General features: G+C 47.9%; 1 protein-coding gene across 12 annotated transcripts in view, besides 2 other annotated features; it reads left to right on the plus strand.

Annotated features, from left to right (window-relative positions):
* TOX2 (TOX high mobility group box family member 2) overlaps positions 1-14459 on the plus strand; it is a 154765-nt gene extending 140306 nt beyond the window's left edge. For 6 of the 12 annotated variants that reach the window (XM_047440561.1, NM_001098797.2, NM_032883.3 and 3 more), the window contains 4 exons: positions 9620-9700; positions 10555-10950; positions 11573-11700; positions 13493-14459. In XM_047440561.1, the coding sequence (XP_047296517.1) occupies positions 9620-9700; positions 10555-10950; positions 11573-11700; positions 13493-13529 (642 nt within the window). In that variant the 3' untranslated portion in view covers positions 13530-14459. Of the gene's footprint in view, positions 1-9619; positions 9701-10554; positions 10951-11572; positions 11701-13492 lie in introns of those variants that run through there. The other 6 variants (XM_047440565.1, XM_017028109.2, XM_047440564.1 and 3 more) reach the window with 4 other exon arrangements.
* Positions 1010-1119: a silencer, noted in NCBI's record as "silent region_12938". NCBI's record gives its function as "represses an Ori minimal core promoter by ATAC-STARR-seq in GM12878 lymphoblastoid cells {active_cell/tissue: GM12878}" and the evidence as "EXISTENCE:reporter gene assay evidence [ECO:0000049][PMID:35858748]".
* Positions 12748-13264: an enhancer, noted in NCBI's record as "H3K4me1 hESC enhancer chr20:42696545-42697061 (GRCh37/hg19 assembly coordinates)". NCBI's record gives its function as "activates a minimal SCP1, AML or CMV promoter by ChIP-STARR-seq in naive H9 embryonic stem cells {active_cell/tissue: H9 hESC(naive)}" and the evidence as "EXISTENCE:reporter gene assay evidence [ECO:0000049][PMID:30033119]".
* Positions 14460-24202: the final 9743 nt, after the last annotated feature.

The raw sequence follows: 24202 nt of genomic DNA on the forward strand, positions 1-24202 counted from the left end.
CCAGGGTCACCAGCGTGAATCAAGGTAGAGTCAGGATTTGAACTCACATCTGTAGAAGCAGGAGGCTCAACTGGGCTGTTGGCATGAGAGACATGAATCAAATAAGCAGATGAGTAAATGTAAAATTACAATTGTGATTGTGCCGTGTACCAGGAGGGTACATAGTTCATGAGAGTGGAAAGAGCAGGGACGGACATTGTCCCAGGGGTCAGGTCACCAGGTGAGACCTGAAGTGTGAGTTCTCTTTGGAGGAGGGGAAGTGTTCCAGACAGGGAGGCCTGGTAAGGAAGGAGGCTGGAAAAGCACAGGGGACTGAAAGGAGACCAGGATGGCCAGAGAGGAGACAATAAGAGTACCCATGGCAGAGACGGAGCTGGAAAGGAGGGCAGGGGCCAGACCACGCTGGGCTTTGCAGACCTTGGAAGTAGTCAGGCCCTGTTCTAAGAGGAGAGAAAACCAGTGAAGAGTTTTATGTAGAGGAGAGACTGGAACGGCAGCATAAGGCAGGTAAGAGTGGATGTGGAGGGTGCACAGTGATCCAGGTGGGGGAAGGTAGGGTCTGGAGCATCTTCCAGAATGGTTTAGGGTAGGGGACACAGAGCATGTCCTGGGAGCCTCCTTGCATCTGGCTTCCATTCTGAGTAAATGGAGATGCCAGTCACTGGATGGGAAATATGGGGAAAGTAGCAGGCTTGGGGCAGAGAGATGAATTACTGACTTATTTGAAACATCATCTTTACCGTATTCTAAAATTTTAGGTAATTTTGGAATATGTTATAATGCAGAGAGTTTATTTGGGAGATGATCCCCACCTCTGGTAGGGGAGTGGGGAAATGAGACAGGGAAAGGAGGGCAGCCAGGAAAGGGCACATTGTCCCAGGAGAATCCACCATGGGCAACTGGAGCACAATCCCGCTGGGAACTCAGGAGCCTGCTTAGAACGTGCCAGGCCTCAGGGTCATCCTGTCTGAGGGGCAAGGGTGCTGGGGTGGACACCAGCATTCCTTCAGAGCTGCTCCAGGGGACATTACTTCTGCAGCACCCCTGGCCTGCTACACATGCCAGGCTCCTGCCACCAGAGGGACCCTCAGGCAAAGGAATATAGCCGGTGGCAGCTGGAAGTAGAGCATGTTTGTAGGACAGGGGTAAGGACTGGGGGATATTGGCAGGGCACTGTGGCTTTTGCTATAGGGACGTCTGTCATTTTCACTTGTGTGTTTCGTTGGCAACCAATTCCCTTTCAAAAGACTTCAGGTTGTTTTTGTTTGGTGGGGGGATTTCCTTGCCGTTTTATACAGTCTGGGGAGACAGTGGTCTCAAGTCCTATGTCCCCGGGCACTCCCTCCACCGATGCTTTCTCTGACCTCATTCAGCGCAGCCCAGAGGCAAGCAAAGGTGGTTGAGAGTCCCAGCCCCTGTGTCGGTTTCATTTCTGCTTACCTGTCTGACGTTTTATTTCTAACCCAAGAACTTGGCATATATTTATTTCCATCCGATAATGGGCATTTCTCTCCTTTTACTTAATGCGTTCTTTTACTTAATGCGTTATAAATGGCTTGTTTCTCCCCATTTTCCTAGCAAATTGTTGAGTATAAAAAGTTAGGAATTTAATTTGTAACTGCCAAGCTTACTATTTATTTTATCATTTCTGATCATTTTTAATTCCTGAGTCTTCTAGGTTTAAAAAAAGTGTCTATAATTATACACATATTTATACATATGTATCTTTTACAAATGATAATTTTGTCTCCTTTGTTATTTGTTTTTTAAGAGACAGGGTGTCACTCTGTCACCCAGGCTAGAGGTCAGTGGCATGATCATAGCTCACTGCAGCCTTGAACTCCTGGGCTCAAGCAATTTTCCCAGCTCAGCTTCCCAAGTAGCTGGACTACAGGCGTGCCATGCATCACCATGCCCCACAAAATTTTTTCTTTTTTTTGGTATTTTGTAGAGACAGGGTCTTGCTGTGTTGCTCAGGCTGACAAACTCTTAGCCTCAAATGATCATCCCACCTTGGCCTCCCAAAGTGCTGGGATTAGAGGCATGAGCCACTATATCCAGCCATATCTCCTTATTTTGTCTCCTCACTTCTCAGATTTCTAATTCTGTTTTCTTTTCCCAGTTATGTTGACTAGGACTTCTAAAAAAGAGATGTTCAGCAATGGCGGGGATAGTGGTCTTCTTACTTTGCATTACCTCTCATGTTTCACTATTAAGCATAAGGCTGGATGTTAGCTTGTGTCAGTTTTTGAAATCACATTTAGAAATGTGACTTATATTCCTATTTTACTATTAATACACTAATAACCAAGAGAGGTAGTGAGAAAATAATAGGAAATAAAAAAACCTTGCCTATCCCCCAAAAGTTTCAAGCCTAGGTGATGGATAGGAAAGTTCTTTCAAATCATCAAAGAGCTAATAATTCCAAGACTTAGAAAAATAAGAAAACCTTCACAAGTCTTTATATACAATGTAACCTTGACACTAAAACATAATGAAGCTAACTGCATCATTTAATTTTGAATGTGTAATAAACAATACCAAAATTTAATGGCTTAAAACAATAATCATTTATTCAACTTATGATTCTGAGGGTCCATGAACTGTGCTGGGCTCAGCAGGATGGTTCTGCTGCTGCTCTTGGCTGGGCTCACCCATTTGCATCAGTGGTCAACTACAGTAAATTAGGCATCTCTGCTTCTGGGAGTTGGATGGCTGTCAGCTGGAGCAGTGGAGCCAAACTGGGCCATGTGTCTTTCATCATCCAGCAGACTAGCTCATGCTTATTCACATAGCAAGTCAGAGTTCCAAGAGCAGTTTTAGAGCAGAAAAATGGCAGGAAGGAGGCAGGACTAACTTGCAGCTCCCACTCGGACAGACAGAGCACGGAGACTCACATTGTGAACTTTTGCTCCAAGAACTACCACAGGAACATACTAGGAAAGCCAAAAGAATCCACAGACACTTTGAAGGATGTGGATTGCTGCTGCAGGCTCTCTGGGACAGCCAAGGAATTGTGAGTTGGCGTGCTTTCTCAGCTGGGAGGCCTGTAGCCTGGGGCAAGTTCTCAGCCCTGTTCACTAGCTGCCTGGAAATAAACTCGGTGCTGTTGGGGGTGCATGGTGGGAGTGAGACCAGCCTGTGGCTGCCAGCTTTCCCTCACTTCCCTGACAACCTGTGTGATGCAGCAGTCAGCCATAATCCCTCTGGGAACCACAACCCCCACAGCATCTGCAGCAAGCCCCACCTAACCCTGCCCCTACCTGATGGTCTTTCTCTACCTGCCCTGTTAGCCTAAGACAAAGGACATAATCTCTCTTGGGAACTCCATGGCCCCGCCCACCACCTGACACTAGGGCAAGCTTGTATCCTCCCTATACTACTGCAGCTGATGTGCTCTAGAAAGTGCTACCTCCTGGCTAGAGGCCAACCAACACAAAACCAGTGCACTTAAAAATACAACCAAGGACCCTCATGGAGTCCACTTCACTCCCCTGCTACTTCCACTGGACCAGGTGTTGATATCCATGGAGGAGAGACCTGAAGACAGATCACATCACAGGACTCTTTGCAGACACTCCCCAGTACTAGCCCAGAGCCCGGTAGCTCCGCTGGGTGGCTAGATCCAGAAGAGAAATAACAATCACTGCAGCAGGGCTCTCAGGAAACCACATCCCTAGGGGAAGGGGGAGAACCCCAAGGGACAGGAGAATCTGAATAGCAGCCTTGAGTCCCAGATCTTCCCTCTGACATAGTTTACCCAAATGGGAAGGAACCAGAAAAATAATTCTGGTAATATGACAAAACGAGGTTATTTAACACCCCCAAAAGATAACACTAGCTCAACAGCAATGGATCCAAACCAAGACAAAATCTCTGAATTGCCAGAAAAAGAATTCAGAAGGTTGATTGTTAAGCTAATCAAGGAGGCACCAGAGAAAGGTGAAGTCCAACTTAAAATAAAAAGAATTATACAGCATATGAATGGAAAAATCTCCAGTGAAATAGCATAAATAAAAACAATCACAACTTCTGGAAATGAAGGACACACTTAGAGAAATGCAAAATACACTGGGAAGTCTCAGCAACTGAATTGAACAAGTAGAAGAAAGAACTTCAGAGCTCAAAGACAAGGCTTTCAAATTAACCCAATTCAACAGAGACAAAAAATTTTAACAAATGAACAAAGCCTCCAAGAAGTTTGGGATTATGTTAAATGACCAAATCTAAGAATCACTGGTGTTCCTGAGGAAGAAGAGAAATCTAAAAGTTTGGAAAATATATTTGAGGGAATAATTGAGGAAAACTTCCCTGGCCTTGCTAGAGATCTAGACATCCAAATACAAGAAGTTCAAAGAACACCTGGGAAATTTGTCACAAAAAGAAGGAAAGGAAAACCTTTCAGATTAACAGCAGATTTCTTAGCAGAAACCCTACAAGCTAGAAGGGATTGGGGTCCTATTTTTAGCCTCCTTAAACGATTAGCCAAGAATTTTGTATCCAGCAAAACTAAGCTTCATTACAGTTCTTTTTTTCAAAGCAATGCTGAGAGAATTTGCCACTGCCAAGCCAGCACTGCAAGAACTACTAAAAGGAGCTCAATCTTGAAACAAATTTTTGAAATACACAAAAATGGAATCTCCTTAAAGCATAAATCTCACAGGACCTCTAAAATAATAACACAATTTTTTAAAAACCACAAGGTATTTGGGCAACAAATAGCACAACGAATAGAATAGTACCTCACATCTCAATACTAGCACTGAATGTAAATGGCCTAAATGCTCCACTTAAAAATACAGAATGGCAGAATGAATAATTGACCAACTGAGTATCTGCTGTCTTCAAGAGACTCACCTGACACATAAGGACACACATAACCTTTAGGTAAAGGGGTGGAAAAAGATACTCCATGCAAATGGATACCAAAAGTGAGCAGGAATAGCTATTCTTATATCAGACCAAACAAACTTTAAAGCAACGGCAGTTGAAAAAGACAAAGAGGGACATTATATAATAAAACTAGTCCAACAGGAAAATATCACGATCCTAAATTTATATGCATCTAACATTGGAGCTCCCAAATTTAAAAAAATAATTACTACTAGACCTAAGAAATGAGAAAGATAGACAGTAAAACAACAATAGCGGGAAACTTCAATACTCCACTGACAGCACTAGACAGGTCATCAAGACAAAGTCAACAAAGAAACAATGAACTTAAACTTACCCTGCAACAAATGGACTTAACAGATATTTATAGAACATTCTACCCAACAACTGCAGAATATACATTCTGTTCATCAGCACATGGAACGTTCTCCAAGATAGACCATACAATAGGCCATAAAACAAGTCTCAACAAATTTAAGAAAATAATAGAAATTATATCAAGTACTCTCTCAGAACATAGTGGAATAAAACTGGAAATCAACTCCAAAAGGAACCCTCAAAACAATGCAAATATATGGAAATAGTTAAATAACCTGCTCCTGAATGATTGTTGGGTCAACAATGAAATCAAGATGGATATTATAAAATTATTTGAACTGAACGATAATAGTGACATAACCTATCAAAACCTCTAGGATACAGCAAAAGTGGTGCTAAGAGGAAAGGTCATAGCATTAAATGCCTACATCAAAAAGTCTGAAAGAGCACAAATAGACAATGTAAGGTCACGCCTCAAGGAACTAAAGAGAGAGAACACACCAAACTCAAACGCAGCAGAAGAAAAAAATGACCAAGATCAGAGCAGAACTAAATGAAATTGAAACCAAAAAATACAAAAGATAAACAAAAAGCTGGTTCTTTGAAAAGATAAATAAAACTGATAGACCATTAGTGAGATTAACCAAGAAAAGAAGAGAGAAGATCCAAATAAGCTCAATTAGAAACAAAACATGAGATATTACAACCGATACCACAGAAATACAAAAGATCATTTAAGACTACTATGAACACCTTTATGTACATAAACTAGAAAACCTAGAGGAGATGGATAAATTCCTGGAAATATACAACCCTCCTAGATTAAACCAGACCAATAACAAGCAGTGAGATTGAAATGGTAATTAAAAAGTTACCAACAAAAAAAGGCCAGGACCAGATAGATTCAGAGCTGAATTCTATCAGACTTTTAAAGGACACTATTCCACAAAATAAAGAGGGAATCCTTCCTAAATTATTCTATGAAGCCAGTCAATCACCCTAATACCCAAACCAGGAAAGGACATAACAACAACAAAAAAACGAAAACTGCAGGCCAGTATTCCTTCTATGCCCAAAATCAGCATAGAAGGGATATACTTCAAGGTAATAAAAGCCATCTATGATAAACCAGAGCCAACATTATAGTGAATGGGGAAAAATTGAAAGCATTCCCCTTGAGAACTGGAACAAGACAAGGATGCCCACTCTTACCACTTCTATTCAACAGAGTACTGGAATTCCTAGCCAGAGCAATCAGACAAGAGAAAGAAAGAGCATCCAAATCTGTAAAGAGGAAGTCAAAGTGTTGCTGTTTGCTGATGATATGATTGTATACCTAGATGAACATGAATGCAAAAATCCTCAGTACAATACTAGCTAACTGAATCCAATGTTGTATCAGAAAGATAATCCACCATGATCAAGTGGGTTTCATACCATGGATGCAGGGATGGTTTAACATACACGAGTCAATAAATGTGATATACCACATAAACAGAATTTAAAACCACATGATCATCTCAATAGACACAGAAAAAGCATTTGACAAAATTGAGCATCCCTTTGATTAAAACCCTCAGCAAAATCGGCATAGAAGGGACATACCTTAAGGTAATAAAAGCCATCTATGATAAATCCAGAGCCAACATTACACTGAATGGGGAAAAGTTGAAAGCATTCCCCCTGAGAACTAGAACAAGACAAGGATGCCCATTTATTCGATGCAGTACTGGAAGTCCTGGCCAGAGCAATCAGACAAGAGAAAGAAATAAAGGGCACCAAATCAGTAAAGAGGAAGTCAAACTGTCACTGTTTGCTGATGGGATTATCATATACCTAGAAAACCCTAAAGACTCATCCAAAAAGCTCCTAGAACTGGTAAATGAATTCAGCAAAGTTTCAAGATACAAAATTAATGTACACAAATCAATAGATCTGCTATACACCAACAGTGACCAAGCTGAGAATCACATCAAGAACTCAACCCCCTTTAACTGCAAAATAAATAAATAAATAAATAAATAAATAAATAAATAAATGAATAAATAAAATACTTAGGAATATACCTAACCAAGGAGGTGGAAGACCTCTACAAGGAAAACTACAAAACACTGCTGAAAGAAATCGTAGATGAAACAAATGGAAACACATCCCATGCTCATGGATGGGTAGAATCAATAGTGTGAAAATGACCATACTGCCAAAAGCAATCTATAAATTAAATGCAATTCCCATCAAAACACCACCAACATTCTTCACAGAACTAGAAAAAACAATCCTAAAATTCATGTGGAATCAAAAAAGAGCCCTCATAGCCAAAGCATGACTAAGCAAAAAGAACAAATCTGGAGGCATCACATTACCCGACTTCAAACTATATGGCCATAGTCACCAAAACAGCATGGTACTGGTATAAAAATAGGCATATAGACCATGGAAAAGATTAGAGAACCCAGATATAAAGCCAAATCCTTACAACCAACTGATCTTTAACAAAGCAAACAATAACATGAAGTGGGGAAAGGACACCTTATTCAACAAATGGTGCTTGGATAATTGGCAAGCCACATGTAGAAGAGTGAAACTGGATCCTCATCTCTCACCTTATACAAAAATCAACTCAAAATGGATGGAAGACTTAAATCTAAGACCTGAAACCCTAAAAATTCTAGAAGATAACACTGGAAAAACCCTTCCACAGACATTGGCTTAGGCAAAGACTTCATGACCAAGAACCCAAAAGCAAATGCAACAAAAACAAAGGTAAATAGATGGGACTTAATTAAACTAAAAAGCTGCACAGCAAAAGAACCAGCAGGGTAAACAGACAACCCACAGAGTGGGAGAAAATCTTCACAATCTATACTTTCGACAAAGGACTAATATCCAGAATCTACAAAGGAACTCAAATCAGCAAGAAAAAAACAATCCCATCAAAAATTGGGCTAAGGAGATGAATAGAGAATTCTCAAAAGAAAATATACAAATGGCCAACAAACATATTAAAAAATACTTAACATCATTATGATCAGGGAAATGCAAATCAAAACCACCTTACTCCTGCAAGAATGTCCATAATCAAAAAATAGATGTTGGCATGGATGTGGCAAAAAGGGAACACTTTTACACTGTTGGTGGGAATATAAACTAGTACATCCACTGTGAAAAACAGTGTGGAAATTCCCCAAAGAACTAAAAGTAGATCTACTGTTTGACCCAGCAATCCCACTGCTTGGTATCCACCCAGAGGAGAAGAAATTTTACAAAAAAGATACTTGCACATGTTTGTAGCAGCCCAATTTGCAATTGCAAAAATATGGAACCAGCCCAAATGCCCATCAATCAATGAGTAAAGAAAATGTGCTACATATATATACACACATATATATGTACACACACACACATATACATATATATGTACACACACACACACACAAACACCATGAAATACTACTCAGCCATAAAAAGGAAGGAAATAATGGCATTTGCAGCAACCTGGATGGAATTGGAGACAATTATTCTAAGTGAAGTAACTCAGGAATGGAAAACCAAACATTGTATGTTCTCATAAGTGGGAACTAAGCTATGAGGACACAAAGGCATAAGAATGATACAATGGACTTTGGGGACTTGGGGAAAAGGATGGTAGTGAAGGATAAAAGACTATCATCAGGTACAGTGTACACTGCTCAGGTGGTAGGTTCACCAACATCTCAGAAATCACCATTAAAGAACTTATTCATATACAAAAAAAATTTTTAAATAAGAGTTCCAAGAGTAGCAAGAGGGCTCACCAATATGTGATCACTTTGTCAGTCTCTGCATGCATCACATTTGTGCTTGTCTTATTGGCCAACACAAGTCACACAAGGCTAAGCTCCAAGTCATTTGCACCTCCTCGTTTCTACCAAAAGCCATGGAAACAAGGAGGTGCGAACAAACTGGGACCAGTCCTACAATAACATATGAACCTAGGTCTAAAATTTTTAATAAAAAATATTAGCAAACCGAATCCAAACTAACATACTATGAACAAGTAGGTTCATTCTAGGTTGCGAAGGTGGTTCGGCATTAAGAAATCTGCACTGTGCTGGCTCAGAATGGGGGCTTCAAAGGGCATTGTCTTTCTGTGATCAGTTGTGCTGATAGAACCTGGAGGCCCAGAGAGATGAAGCATGTTGGCCAAGGCCACACAGTGACTTGGCTGAGGAACTGGGATATGGCCTGGTCTCCACAATTTCTCTGCAGCGCTCCCAGAAAGGGGCCAGTGGCTGGCTGACTCAGCTTCTGACCCCACCACCCTCGTCCATTCGTGATCCTTGAATCCATGCCTTCCCACCCCAGGACCCTGCACGGCATCTCCTCTGTAACTTTCTCCCCAGTGTTGCTCATGTGTTGACTCTTCCAGGCCTACAAGAGGAAGACAGAAGCAGCAAAGAAGGAATATCTGAAGGCCCTGGCAGCCTACCGGGCTAGCCTCGTCTCCAAGGTAACACCCGGAATCTCCAGGCACAGCCCTGATCAGAGTGGGGCCACTTGAGGAATGGAGCAAGAACTGGGGCCCGTGGGAAGGGCCGGCACCCCAGGTCTTAGAAAGAATGGCTCAGACCTACATGGTCATGTCTGCAGGGCACCTACAGCATGCCAGGCTCATTCTGGGCACTTTACATGCATTTCATTGGCTTCTTCCAACAAGAACCCAGCACCCAGAGGGGTTGAGCAACTTGCCTGAAAAGATCCAGTTTGTTAAAGTGGCCGCACTAGGATTCAAACCCAGTTTTGCCAGTTTTATGTGGCCTTCACTTCTGACCGCTGATGGGGCTTGGGACACGCTACCCCAAAATATGGCACCTCCTCACCACACCGTCGGCCTCCTCTGTCAACACCAGCAACGTAGGAAGCTAAGTGTGGCTGCGGATGCGTGGCCCAAGTGGAGGTGGGTGTTGTTCCTGGTACAGAAGAGATGGCATCCAAACTGGTCTATAACAGGCCAAGTAAAAGGTGGTTCAAAGTCAAGGGAAAAACATCTACAAAGGCACAGAGGTTGGAAGGAGCATGATTAGAGCTGGCTCAGTGGGATGGTGCTTGTCTCACTGGCCAGGCTGAGGAGCATGGATTCCCCCAAGGGCAGGGGAGCCCCCCAAAGATAAAAGCAGTAGGTGACTGGATGGTCAGAGCCAAGGGGACTAAGGACCCTGTGCTATCTCTGGTTAGTCCAAGCTCTCTCCCAAGACAGCCAGCCAGCAGCCGTGTCAGTGGGTTGCAGAGCCTCCTGGCCTCACAGCCCATGTTCTGGCTCATCCCTCTTCTGTTCTCCAGTGACTGATATCTGTCTCCTTCCAGAGCTCCCCAGATCAAGGTGAGACCAAGAGCACTCAGGCAAACCCACCAGCCAAAATGCTCCCACCCAAGCAGCCCATGTATGCCATGCCAGGCCTGGCCTCCTTCCTGACGCCGTCGGACCTGCAGGCCTTCCGCAGTGGGGCCTCCCCTGCCAGCCTCGCCCGGACGCTGGGCTCCAAGTCTCTGCTGCCAGGCCTCAGTGCGTCCCCGCCGCCGCCACCCTCCTTCCCGCTCAGCCCCACACTGCACCAGCAGCTGTCACTGCCCCCTCACGCCCAGGGCGCCCTCCTCAGTCCACCTGTTAGCATGTCCCCAGCCCCCCAGCCCCCTGTCCTGCCCACCCCCATGGCACTCCAGGTGCAGCTGGCGATGAGCCCCTCACCTCCAGGGCCACAGGTAAGCAGGGAAGAGCAGAACAGCCCTTCTGTGACCGTGTGGGGAGGGGAAGCGGCTTTGCCCTTTCAAACCCTGGCCCTGCCACTCACCAGTGATATAACCTCAGCCTTGGCACCTGACCTCTCTGAGCCTCAGTTACCACATCTAGGAAGTGGGTCTCGCACACCTTACCTGAGATGTGCTGGCTGCAGTGAACAGTTCACGAGTTGCCAGACTGACTCTTAGGATACTCCAGTCCCCCCTTCCTGCATCCTCAGCCCTAGCCCTGGCCCTTCCCAAAGCCTTCGAGACCTTACCCCCGCTAATTGTTCCACAGAGATTGCTACGAGGTTCACATGGCCCTTAGAGGTCATTGGGTTCAGTAATTCCATTTTACAGATCGAGAAACTGAGGCCCAGAAAGGGAAAGGCCCTGAAAGCCAAGTCCTTCAGCCCCTGATTCAGCCAAGACAAGGGTTGAACATTTTGAAAGGTGCTCTACTGGGAGCAAGGCAGCAGCCCTGGAGGCAGCATCTCTTTGGTGTGGACACCCTTGGACACATGGGCTCTCACCCCGGGAGGCCTGGGACAGTCTGCCCCCTCATCTCTCCTTGGCTCATGGCCTCCTCCTTCCCACTCTGTAGGACTTCCCGCACATCTCTGAGTTCCCCAGCAGCTCGGGATCCTGCTCACCTGGCCCATCCAACCCCACCAGCAGCGGGGACTGGGACAGCAGCTACCCCAGTGGGGAGTGTGGCATCAGCACCTGCAGGTTAGTCCTCGCCCGTCCCTGCCTTTGTCCTGCCAGCCAGGGAGAGTGGGAACAGGATGGCCAGGGATGGGAGAATGGCCAAGGGCAACGTGGACAGGGGAGGACCCTGCAGTCACTGTCAGCCCTGCTGAGGGGATCGATATCTCAGATGACACCGCAGAGCCAGGCCCCGGAAGGACTCTGCTGGCCTGATGCTGAGGCCTGCTTGGGAAACTGACTAGTCTTCAGTCTTGCTGCTTCTTCCTTGCTCCTGTTTTTTTCACAAGTGCTTCCACGTGACATTCACAGATGAGTCCTGCATCTTAGGCCAGTTCCCTAGAAGCAGAGCCTGAGGCAGCAGGGATTGGGTGCCTTTGGGGATGCACTGGGGAAAGCTTGCAGGAGAAGGGGGTGAGGGAGGCAGGACAGGGTGGGGGAAGGAGCTGAGGGGGGATGTGGCCTCAGCTGAAGACTTGCTTCTGCCTCATCCCATGGGAGCCCTGGAGCATGAACGGTGCTAGAGTGGCTCCCACCTGGAGGTCAGGGAACTGGCTTTTTGAACCCTTCATCAGTCAGCCCTTGGCTGTGGGCTGCCCCGGGGTGAGTGTAGCCCACTGGGCAGGGCAGCTCCCAAGACTAGAACAGCTAAGAATGCAGGACAGGGGACCTCGGTGGGACACGGTGGGAGAAGGGACCCACTGTCTATCCCAAGGAATTACAGACACCTTAGAGACCCCTTCTCCCTGCACCCCAGTGTCCTCCCTAGTCCTCCTGTGGGCCTCCTGTCTCAGGCCTCTGTTCCTATCCTGCACTCCACCTTTCAAACCCATGCTAACACCTCCCTCTAGAAAGTCTTCCTGGATCCACGCCACCCCAACTCTGGGGAAGAGTGACCTTTCAACAACCGCAGCCAGCAGGAGAGGGAGAGTGCAGTGAGGAGGGACACTTGCTCCTTAACCCGCCAGCCAGGTTCCCATTCCCTTGGCAAAAATGAGTCCCGCAGCCACACCTGGGGGACGTAGTGCCAAGCAGCTGTCCCAGCGATAGCGCCACAACCTGGAAGGCACAGCGCACTTGTCGGGTGGCCACCTTGCTGCTGAGAAACGCTGCCCCCAGCCCTAGCCTCGGCCTCCCAGCACACGGCTGGTTCCTCTGCTGACCCACCAGCGCCCTTGGACACTGAACAAGTGACCAGCGCGCATGCCCCATTTCTGACATGCCTGAAGTGAGATTCTACATGGGTGGGTGGACTCAGCTCAGCAAGAATCCCTTCCCTGCACCCCAAGCAGGTGCAGACCCTCCTACCCCAGCCCTTTCCTGTCCCTAAGTTTCCTTCTCAAAAGTCAGAATACTTAGGGTATGTAGGGGAGTGTCACACAATGTCCAAGCCTCCTGAGGCTTGCCCATCACATCCAGCATGGAGGTCAGACCCCAGCAGGGCCGTATTTTAAAAACATAAAAAGCACCTGTCCTCCCTTAATTCAGTTTGAGATTTACAAATTCCTGTGATTAAAAACCCATGTGAGAGCAATGGTGACATCGGCGTGCGCCTCGATGAAAGACAGACACGCTACTGCCCTTTCACCCAGAGCTGAGGACCGGGTGGTCCCCTGCTGGGTTTCCGGGAGGGGTTTGGTTCTGCTTGGTGTAGAGGTGGGTGGGGGTGGGACTTGCAGATGCAAGTCCCTCATTCAGCCACAGAGGGGCAGCTGAATCCAGGGGTGGGGGTGGGGCGTACAGTGCAGGGGTCCTGGTGCTCCCCTGGCCCGGAGAGGTACCCAACAGCTTTGACAGCCCCTCCTCTCTCTCACAGCCTGCTCCCCAGGGACAAATCGCTCTACCTCACCTAATCCCGCCTCCCTACCATCCCTGAGGCTCGCTGGAAGGCACTGCTCAGAGCCTGAAGGGCTGACAGCAGAAAAGAGGCCCTGGCCAGAGGCAGGGTGGCCCATCGGAGAGAGCAGTGACACACCCATTGCCCGGGGGCTGAGTCTCTTCCTCAACCTCCCACCAGACTCTGCAGAGGCAGCCCACTGCCCACCACCAGCCCAAAGAACCTGCAGGAACCTTCCGCCCGCTGACCTGCTTGCTCCAGGGTAACTGTGGACCCTGTCCTCGCCCTGCGCACGGTACCCTATGTCTGGACACCCGGCCCCAGCTCCAGCCCCAGCCCAGGTGGGCCGCCCCTGGCGGGGTCGCTTACCAACGGACACCCACCCCAGATGCATGGGCCAGAGGGCCGGCCCCCGGCATAGATGTGCACATCGGTTTTCCAGTGTGAACAAAAGATTACGAAACCTAGAAACTGTTGGTTCCGTGTAAGTAGTTGACTACGTGTTTTAGAACTGTGCTGAAGACATCTGTAAGACTATTTTGTGGGGGAAAAAAGTAGTTTCCTTTAAGGTAAAAAGCATTTTATATGATCCTTAGCACATTTTTAAGTTTTATCTTAAGGGAGACGCGCACAAAAGCGGCTGCCAAACCGTTTCGTCATCCTCACAGCAAGGACCGGACGCTTGCTAGCCACCCCGGAGCACTGCTCTCCTTTTAATCATGTATTCATCTATTTTAAATTGCCGGCGACGACTTTTGTCTATTTATGAAGAAACCTTGAGAACGAAGTTACAGCTTATCCTACCGTGTGTGTGGTTTTGGGGTTTCGTTTGGGTTTGGGTTCTTGACGTCGTTTGCAGCTGTTTCCTGGCCCTGGCGAGTGTCTGTCTTGGTGCCCAGTGCTTCTCTCAAATCTCTTTATAATAAAACTTCTGAAAAGCTGAAAACAAGTCTGTGTCTCCTTGCCCTTGGTGAGCCAGGGTTGAACCCCCTAAAGTGGCATAGAGCCCCTCGGGCCAGACGGACACGGGTCAAAGTCTTGCCTGACCTTTACCAGCCCATGTGGGTTTGTGTGTGGGTGATGGGACCACTCTGACCTCAGTCTTGCCCTCTAAGGGGGTAACAGTGGTCAGACCCGTAGGGCTCTTGCGACGATGAGAAGGGGTGTGGGCAAGAACGCCGCCACACAGGAACTTGCATCAGCTGGTGACAGTGGCGAGCCCTTCCTCTGGAGGATGGGGCCACCCAGGCTTGTGGAGGTGAGCAGTGGGAATCCAGGGAGGAGGCCAAGGGGTTTTTCAAACCTGAGTGTAGGAAGCATCCCAGACAGGGAATTCTTTAAACCAGATTTCCCAGCAGATGTTAGATGGTGATACTAACAACGACAGCAAACAACAACAAAAGGCAAATAATAGTTGACTGTTTTAACTACATCTGGAAAAATACCAATTGCCTGGTGGGAGGCTGCAACTCTTGCACCCTGTGATGCAGCCATTTTGAGGTGGGGACAGGTGCCCCCGCTCCCAGCCAGGCTCGGGACCGAGACAGAGGAGCCCCCACACTCAGGACAGCTCTCCCAGCCTCTCACTCTCCAATCACGGTAAACCCCCTCCTTCCAGATGACAGCCCAGGAGTGGGGTGCAGTTTCCCCACTGGAGGGCATTTTGTAATCCACTTTAGAAAAATAAAATAACCCCAAACCAGCCACCTGCCGTCCCGTCAGCAGCAGCACCGCAATGTGCAGCATAAATATTTCATGTGGTTACAATTTCCTTTTCTATGTGGGGCTTGTCAGTAACACGACGGCTTAGACAGTTTAATATTCAACTCTTGCTTCCATGTTTGTGAAAACAGCATCACTGGGATCCACGCAGACAGCCCACAATGACAAGAGTACAAGGCCCTCCTTGTACAGTGGTGCTGAGGCGGAGGCCTGCTGCCACCCCTCACAGCTGCACCAGGAGCTCAGGAGTCCTTTCCAAGCATCCACACGCCAAGACCACCCCCTCTAGGCTGCACGGGACACTCAGAGGCCCCAAGCAGAACCTAAGCGCCCTGCCTGCAGGTATCAGGGACTGTCGCACGGGTGTGTTCTGGGGCCCAGAGAGTGAGAATAGAGCCTAAAGGCCAATTTCAGGGCCATGGAGTGGACAGCGACTGTCTTAGTCCATCCCAGCTGCCATAACAGAGTGCCATGGGCCAGGTGGCTCACAGCAACACAAACTTACTGCTCAGTTGTGGAGGCTGGGAGGTCTAAGATCAAGGCGCTGGCAGCTTCAGTGTCAGGTGAGGGTTCACTTGCTGGTTCGTAAACGTCCATCCTCTCGCTGTGTCCGACAGGGCAGGAGGGGAGGGTGCTCTCCAGAATTCAACAGCACTCACCCCAATCCTGAGGGCTCCGCTCAGTCACCTTCCAAAGGCCCCGCCTCCAAATACTGGCCCGTTGAGGGTTAGGATTCCAATAATCAAATTCCGGGAGGACACAACCATTCAGTCTGTAGTGCCGACTGCAGTAGTTGGCACTGGTGTCCCCCTCTCGCCTGTCCTCTTCTGTTGCCAGAGCCCATCCCCAGGTCCTGAGTGCCATCCCAGTCATTGCCCCCCAGAGCTGCCACAGCTAATGACCAAATAATGGAGACGCCAACTCTCTGGTCCCATTCACAACCCGAGTCCATGGGAGCAGCCTGAAGCTGCCTCCAGCGGCAACACCATCCTTGCTAAGCTCCCTCCCCCCACCCCGCCCTGCTCTGAGGATGTGACTCCCTCCTGGGAGCACCCACTCAGTAAATCGCTTGAACCAGAATCCCCATCTCAGGCCCGTATGTTTCTAAGGCAACAGCCTACCATACTGACTATGCCCATGGCCCAAGTGGGGCCACATCGGTATTGCTCCAAATGTCTCTGGCTCTGGTCTTACCTGCAACTACAAGAATTTCAGCCCCGAAACCACCACCCAAGCCCCACTCCAGGGCCTTCCTCCTTCTTGGGAGGCAGTGTCTGCTGCATGTTTTCTATTCCATCCTGCAATGATGGTGGCCACGACCCACAGCGCCTCCAAGAACCCAGGGTCACACCGGCTGTGAAAGCACTGGGGTCTCTGCCATGGGCTCTCTCACTCCCCATCCCTGTGCTCCCAAAGCTGCCAGCCCTGGGTGCCCCAGCCTTGTCGTGGGCCAGGTTCTCCCTGCAGCATCCTCCACCTGCCGGGGCCAGTCTACGGTCGGGGCCCCTCACACCTTGAGGCTTCAAGTTATTGCCAGACCCTAGAGCAGTGTCCCCAACAGTGTGAACACCTTTAACTCCTACCTGCAGCCTGCCCCCACTGCCCACAGAGCTGGCCCAGGGAGCAACCCCACTCACCCTTCCCAGGGCCAAGCGCCTTCCTCAGGTTTCTCCATCTCACACCTCCCCCAACAAACTCATCTCGGTCCAAACAGGAGGCAGGACCTGGGCCGAGGCTGAGACCACGCCCCCTCCCCCAACCCCAGAAGGCAGTCATGGCTGGTCCCAAAATTGCCCAGTAGTCATTCCTCCTTGGAGGGATACACAGAAATTTTTACACTGGATTGGAATGTGGGCAACATGGCACAGATTAATTTTTTGATTAATTTTCAGAGTCCGCGATGCTAAAATTCGATACGTTCATTCAGCAAGAATACAAACAACAGAGCAGCTCTTCTCTGCCACACAGCACATACGTATACATACATCAGTTAGCGTGGAATTATCTGTTCTTGAAAGTTTGAAGTAACTCCCATGCGAAAAAGATCTGATGTGCTGTTATAGATTCAGGAGTTTAAAAAAAATTGTTCAACCCATCAGTTATTAACCAGCTCTGCTTCCCAAATTACCCAAAACGAATAACCTCAAGCCCACCAAACGCTGAAGGGTAGTCAGTCAGAGTGAGAGGCAGTGTCGGGGTGGTGGTTAGGAGGGAGGGCTGGGTCACAGCCTGCCTGGGAGAATATTCGCTTGGCTGCCTACAAGTTGTATGAGCTCAGGCAAGTTTCTTAACTTCTGTTTCTTCATGTCTAACTTGGAGATAATAGTCTCCTCTTCAAAGGGCTGTTCTAGTAACAATGAGTTAATATAGGTAAGTCCTTAAAATAGTATTATTTCTCATTATTATATAATAATACTTAATCTCTGCACCAGGTCAAGTTTCTTGCATCGTGTACTATTCAGGATGTGCTAGGCTACGCTGCAGAAACAACTCCCATCTCAGCAGCTTAACCCAACAGAGTTGATCCCTCCAAGCCTCCTCCAAGCCACCAAGAACATTTGGGGATCCAAGGTTCTTCTCTGTGGTGGCTCTGCCACCCCCTTCACCCTCGGAGCCCTCCCTGAGTCCTCTATAGCCAGCCAGTGGTGAGTGAGCCGGGGATCCTGCAGAAGCAGGAAACGAAGTGGTGCCTGTCACTGCTTCCCGTTTCCTGATGGCCACAGCTAGTCAGCAGGGATGGGAAATGGAATCATCCCAGAGAAGGGGTCCCCAACCCCTGGGCCAGTCTGTGGCCTGTCAGGAACCGGGCCACACAGCAGGAGGTGAGCGGTGGGCGAGCAAGCATTACCGCCTGAGCCCCACCTCCTGTCAGATCAACAGCAGTATTGGATTCTCACAGGAGCGTGAACCCTATTGTGAACTGCGCATGCGAGTTACATGCTCCTTGTAAGTAGGTTACACGCTCCTTATAAGACTCTAACTAATGCCTGATGACCTGAGGTGCAACAGTTTCATCCCAAAACCATCTCCCCGCCGCCTGCCAGCCATGGGAAAGTTGTCTTCCATGAAACTGGTCACTGGTGCCAAAAAAGTTGGGGACCACTGTCCTAGAGGAAACGTGCCCTGGGGGAAAAATGCAAGTTCATGGAACTCACAGTGATGCTTTCGCCGAATATCACAACACATTTTCAGGGGAGGAACATGTTGCCCAGAGAGGCCAAGGTACTTGCTGGAGGTCACATAATTTGCATGAAGCCAAGAATTAAAATGACCTCAGACCCCACATCTCTCCTTTTCCAAATTTCCTCTACTTGCACGTAGGAAGCAAAACTCCAGGAGGGAAGAGAGCTCAGGCACTAAAGCCCTGCGGGTTTGACTTGCAAAAAGCACCCAGATCATCACTTTACACACAACCCCAGCAACTTTATCTTCCAGCCTTTAGCATATGAAGGAAGTCAGCAAAAAACTGTCTGCTAGAGGCGGGCACACCAAAAGCCATGAGAAGCAATGCTGGGCAAGGGAAGGAGATATAAGAACTCAAACTTAGCGGTCTGGGGACATTTGGTGCAGGATCAAACAGTCCTGTGCACACCGGCTGTCCCTGCAGGCATCATCTAACATGCTTGTAATTTTTTCTTAGGTTTCAACATGTATAGGGGGACATGCATGAGTTACGAGACACATTTATTTCTGCAAAATGGCCGTATCCTGGCAAAGTGGACCAGATGACCTGTCATTGTCCTTTGAATGAAGGACAAAGATGATGACATTGGAAGACTTTCCACTTGGAGATCTGGTTTCCTCATATGCAAAACCTTATGGTAATAGCTATGGCTCAGCCTACTGATTAAATGAGACAGTATGTGTGAATTGCCTGGGACAATTTGATATAATAAATGTTGTTTGCTTATCTTTCTCTAGGTCTTGCTTTCCTTATCTGAAAAATGGGAATACTATTACCATTCCCAGAGGACACTTGTTGGGATTGAAAATGATGGCATATTTGTAGAGGTCTGACTCATAACGACTCACATTCTCATGTTTTATTATGTGTGTTTTTTAAGAACCTGGGCCTGAGAGTGAAGAGAGCAGTGTCACCCTTAATCTCTCTGGTCCCCGTTTCACTCTGCCTGCAGGGCGCAAGCTTTGCTTCTCTCCTCCCCAATCTTGCTACTGCTAACAGAAGGTGCAGCCACCCGCCACCCACCTGCCCATCTCTCTGCCAGCCTGGCCTTGCCTGTGTTTGACCTTCTGCCTTAGAGCTCTGCTTCCAAGTGGAGGAAGGCTGCCTTCCAGAGGTTTCTATTAAGTACAAAAACAGGACAGTTGGCATTCATTCAGCAAGCATTTAATGGACTCCTATTAAGTGCCAGCTGCTGTGGCAAAGTGACAAGTGACACAGACCAGGCAGGTCTCCAGCCTTCTGGACTTCAGGATAGCAGGAGAAATAAGCCCTAAACAAGGACACGCGCAGGCGCAGAGAAGACTTCCGATTGTGAGGCTGCTGAGAAGGGTCAAAAATCGCTGCTATGAGCAAGAATAAAAGGAGGCCTGTCTTAGATGGGGAGAAGGTGGGGAAGAAAGGCCTTTTGAGGAAGTACCCTGGAGGCCCGACCCAGCCTGCAGTCATTTTCTTGCAGGGGTCAGAGGTGTGGACGCACACGGGGTGCTGACCAGGGAGGAGCTGCTGTCCATCCTTCTCATGAGCTCCAGGGATGAGTGTGAGGGGCCAGGGGCAGGGAGGTGATGTGTGGCCCCACTGCGAATCAACCCCTGCCACGCTTACACCCTCTCTTTCTCCTCCATGGGGATCCCTGGTCACCCTCCTGGGCAACAGGAAAGATTCCAGTCAACATTTTCTTACACAAATATGCTAATGAATAAACAGGAAGTGTGAGATGGTGACAAGATAGGATAGGGTGACATGACGGGGGACAGCGGACAGGTAGTGTGTGGCATCTCAGAGAGGGAACAGGGACAGGTAGCGTGCGGCACCTCAGAGAGGGAATGGAGCTGGCTGTTGAGCGGAGACCTGAAGGAAGCAAAGAACAGGTAAGGACAGTATCAGAACGGAGTTCCTGGCAGAAGAACGGGCACACAGACGTCTGGGGTGGGAAGACGCTGGCTTGCTCTGAAATAACAAGGAAACCAGTGTTGCCTGCGGAAATGGCCAAAGGGGAAAATGGCATGATTTTGAGAAGCCGGCAGGAGCCTGGCCAGGCCGCAAGAGGAGTTTAGACTGTGTTGTAAGAACAACGGGAAGTCATCTAAGTTTAGGAGAGGCATGGCCCAAATGGCAGTTTTACAGGACCCCTCTGGCGGTTGAGAGGGAAGGGGATGGCAGGGGTGGAGGAGTGGACGTGGGAAGATTTGTCAGGAGGCTGCACAGTCATCCAGGGGAGAGGAGGTGGCGACGTTAGACAAGGGTGGTGACAGTGAAGGACAGGAATCCCAATTGCCACGATGCAGAATGCCACTGGAAACTGGATATGTACTCACGGGCGCCATGAGCGAGAGCGCTGGCTGAGGAGCCGCAGTCCTCAAGTCAGAGCCTCAGCCCTGGGGCCTACGCCACTATGCATTTGCCACGTGACTGTTGTGCCCCCTGTACCCAAGACCGAGGCTGACTTTGAGGCATAGGAAGGGAATCAGAGGACAGAAATGAGCTTTCTGAAGTGCAAGTGCAAAGCAGTTTAAAGAAACCACTTTGAAGAAGTTCCAATCAACAGAGGAGCCAGCTGTGATTTCACTGTTGCCTTATGCCGTGGACTGTACTGTGTCTCCCCAAAATTTGTATGTTGAAGCACTGACCTTCAAGGCGATGGTATCTGGAGATGGGGCCTTTGGTAGGTGACAGGTTGAGAAGAGGTCACGAGGGTAGAGTCCTCATGATGGGATCAGTGTCCCAAGAGGAGACACCAGACACCCCCCCCCCCCCCGCCACCTACCAGGTGAGGACACAGAGAGAAGGCAGCCATCGTCAAGCCAGGAAGGGCTCTCACCAGAAACCAGCCATGCGGGTGCCTTGATCATGGACTTTCCAGCCTCCAGAACTGCGAGAAAACAAATTTCTGTTGCTTGAGCCACCCAGTCTGTAATGTTTTGTTAGGGCAGCCTGAGCTAAGATGCCCTGAGCATTAGAAAGGGCCCTAGGGGGACAAGAAAAGGGGACTTGGACCTGGCAGTGTAAAAATTGCGCTGGTGGTGCCCTGCACAGGCCTTTCACACAGTTTTAAAATAGCAAGTAACATCTACGTGGGTGTAAGGGTGCTAATTTTCAACGTCCTTGACTTCAACTTTAAAACTTTAATAATATAATTGCGGCCAGGTGCAGTGGCTCATGCCTGTAATCCCAGCACTTTGGGAGGCCAAGGCGGGCCGATCACCTGAGGTCGGGAGTTCAAGACCAGCCTGACCAACATGAAGAAACCCTGTCTCTACTAAAAATACAAAATTAGCCGGAATGGTGGTGCATGCCTGTAATCCCAGCTACTCGGGAGGTTGAGGCAGGAGAGTCGCTTGAACCCAGGAGGCGGAGGTTGCAGTGAGCCAAGATCTCACTGTTGCACTCCAGCCTGGGCAAGAAGAGTGTAACTCCATTTCAAAAAAAAAAAAAAAAGAAAAAAAAAACCACTTTAATAATATAATCAATCCTTGGTATCTACAGGGGATTGGTTCCAGGACCTTCTACAGATACCAAAATCCACAGATGCTCAAGTCTCCTATACAAAATGGCATAGAATTTGCAAATAACCTATGCATATCTTCCTGTGTACTTGAAATCATCTCTAGATTACTGATAACATCTAATCCAATATAACTGCTATGTAAATAGTTGTTATACTGTTTTGGCTTTATTTGTATTAATTTTTACTGTTGTACTTTTAAAAAATATATGTTTGATCTGTGGTAGGTTGAATCCATCATGCAGAACCCACGGATATGGAAGACTGACCACATATCCCTGCCTTAAAAAGTCAAACCAGGCCGGGCATGGTGGCTCATGCCTGTAATCCCAACACTTTGGGAGGCCAAGGTGGGCAGATCACGAGGTCAGGAGATCGAGACCATCCTGGCTAATGCGGTGAAATCCCGTCTCTACTAAAAAAAAAAAAATACAAAAAATTAACCTGGTGTGGTGGCAGGTACCTGTATAGTCTCAGCTACTCGGGAGGCTGAGGCAGAAGAATAGCGTGAACCCGGGAGGTGGAGCTTGCAGTGAGCCGAGATTGCACCACTGCATTCCAGCCTGGGGGACAGAGCAAAACTCCGTCTCAAACAAAAACAAAAAACAAAAGTCAAACCAGACCATGAAGCTTATAATGATGTCAGGGTGTCCTCTGCTCTTCCCTCCTTCAATCTCTGATTCTCACCACCTAGGGATAAATATTCTCAACTCTTTTTGTTATTTAACAACTGAATATGCACACACTGCTATTTCTTGATTTATAGATTTTTTTTCTTTTTTCTGAGATGGAGTCTCACTCTGTCACCCAGGCTGGAGTGCAATGGTGCAATCTTGGCTCACTGCAACCTCCGCCTCCCGGGTTCAAGCAATTCTCCTGCCTCAGCCTCCCAAGTAGCTGGGACTACAGGCATGCGCCACCACGGCTGGCTAATTTTTAGTATTTTTAGTAGAGACGGGTTTCACAGCTTTAGCCAGGATGGTCTCAATCTCCTGACCTTGTGATCCGCCCACCTCGGCCTCCCAAAGTGCTAGGACTACAGGCGTGAGCCTAGCCGATTTTTAAATGCCTTTTAGTCACTTCTTTTCATGGAAAAAGAGGATTTAGTGCTCCTCCTCCATCTTGCTTCCCCCTGTGTCCTCCCAGTGAACTACATAATCATGGTGGTTAATCAATATTCCAGGCTTACATTATTCCTATTCTGTAACTCATGTTTGCTGATGGGTCAAGCTACATATTTTTTTCCTTGAATAATTTTTCATTTTTGTTTTTCGTGTGCTTAATTTTCCTCCCTGTCACTCATTTTCCCCCAAAGCTCAGAGCTGTAAACCCCTTCTGATTATGGCCAGACACTTTGTGCTCCAATTTGATCTCTTTCTCAGGCAGATTCCAGCCATCATCAGATGCTTCCTTTTATTACTTAGCAAATCCCCTTGCTTTTCTCTATCATGGGTCCTCTCTTTGCAGGATTCCATCCATTCCTCCTTCCTATCTTGCTTCTTCATTGTGGTGGAACACATCTTCCAGGCCCTTTCTAAGAAAGGATGGATGAGAAATAAAGGTGCAGTTCTGCAAATGTTTTCATCTTACCCTCACACTTGATTGGTGGTTTGGCTGGGTAAAGACATCTAGGCTGAAAATAACTTTCTCTCTGAATTTTGAAGGCACGGCTTCATTGACTTCTCATTTCCAGCCTTGCTGCTGTTGAGCGTTGAATATTATTCTGCCTCCCATTTCTTTGTATACTGCTTACTTTTTGCCCCCTTCTCTGGTAACTTTTAGATTTTCTCTTCATCCACCATGTCTTGAAATCTCACAGGGATTTAGGTGGGTCTTCCCTGGCTTTGCGGGTGGTAGGTGGACCCTTCCAATCTGAAGAGAGCCAGACTGCATCTCCCCTTCCAGCTTCCTCTTACTCCTAGACCATCTTTTTGAATTTAGAAACCAAGAATTTGGCTTCTTTATGCTCTCATCTATGAAGAAGTGGTTTTCATCACTAATAGTAAGAGTGTAACAAACGAAGCACATTCATTAATTCCTCCACACACGTGTCTTCCACAGGGGAGTGGGGAGTAGGAGGGTGGTCTCCAAGCTCCTTCCTCCTCCCCTGTCAGGCTGGCTTTTTATTTTTATTTTTTTTTTTTTGAGACAGGGTCTTACTCTGTTACCCAGGCTGGAGTGCAGTGACGCCATCTCAGCTCACTGCAGCTGCAACCTCCTGGGCTCCAGCGATCTCCACACCTAAGCCTCCCGAGTAGCGGAGACTACAGACACGTATCAC

Source organism: Homo sapiens, chromosome 20 (assembly GCF_000001405.40).
Source record: "Homo sapiens chromosome 20, GRCh38.p14 Primary Assembly".
Taxonomy (NCBI): Eukaryota; Metazoa; Chordata; class Mammalia; order Primates; family Hominidae; genus Homo; species Homo sapiens.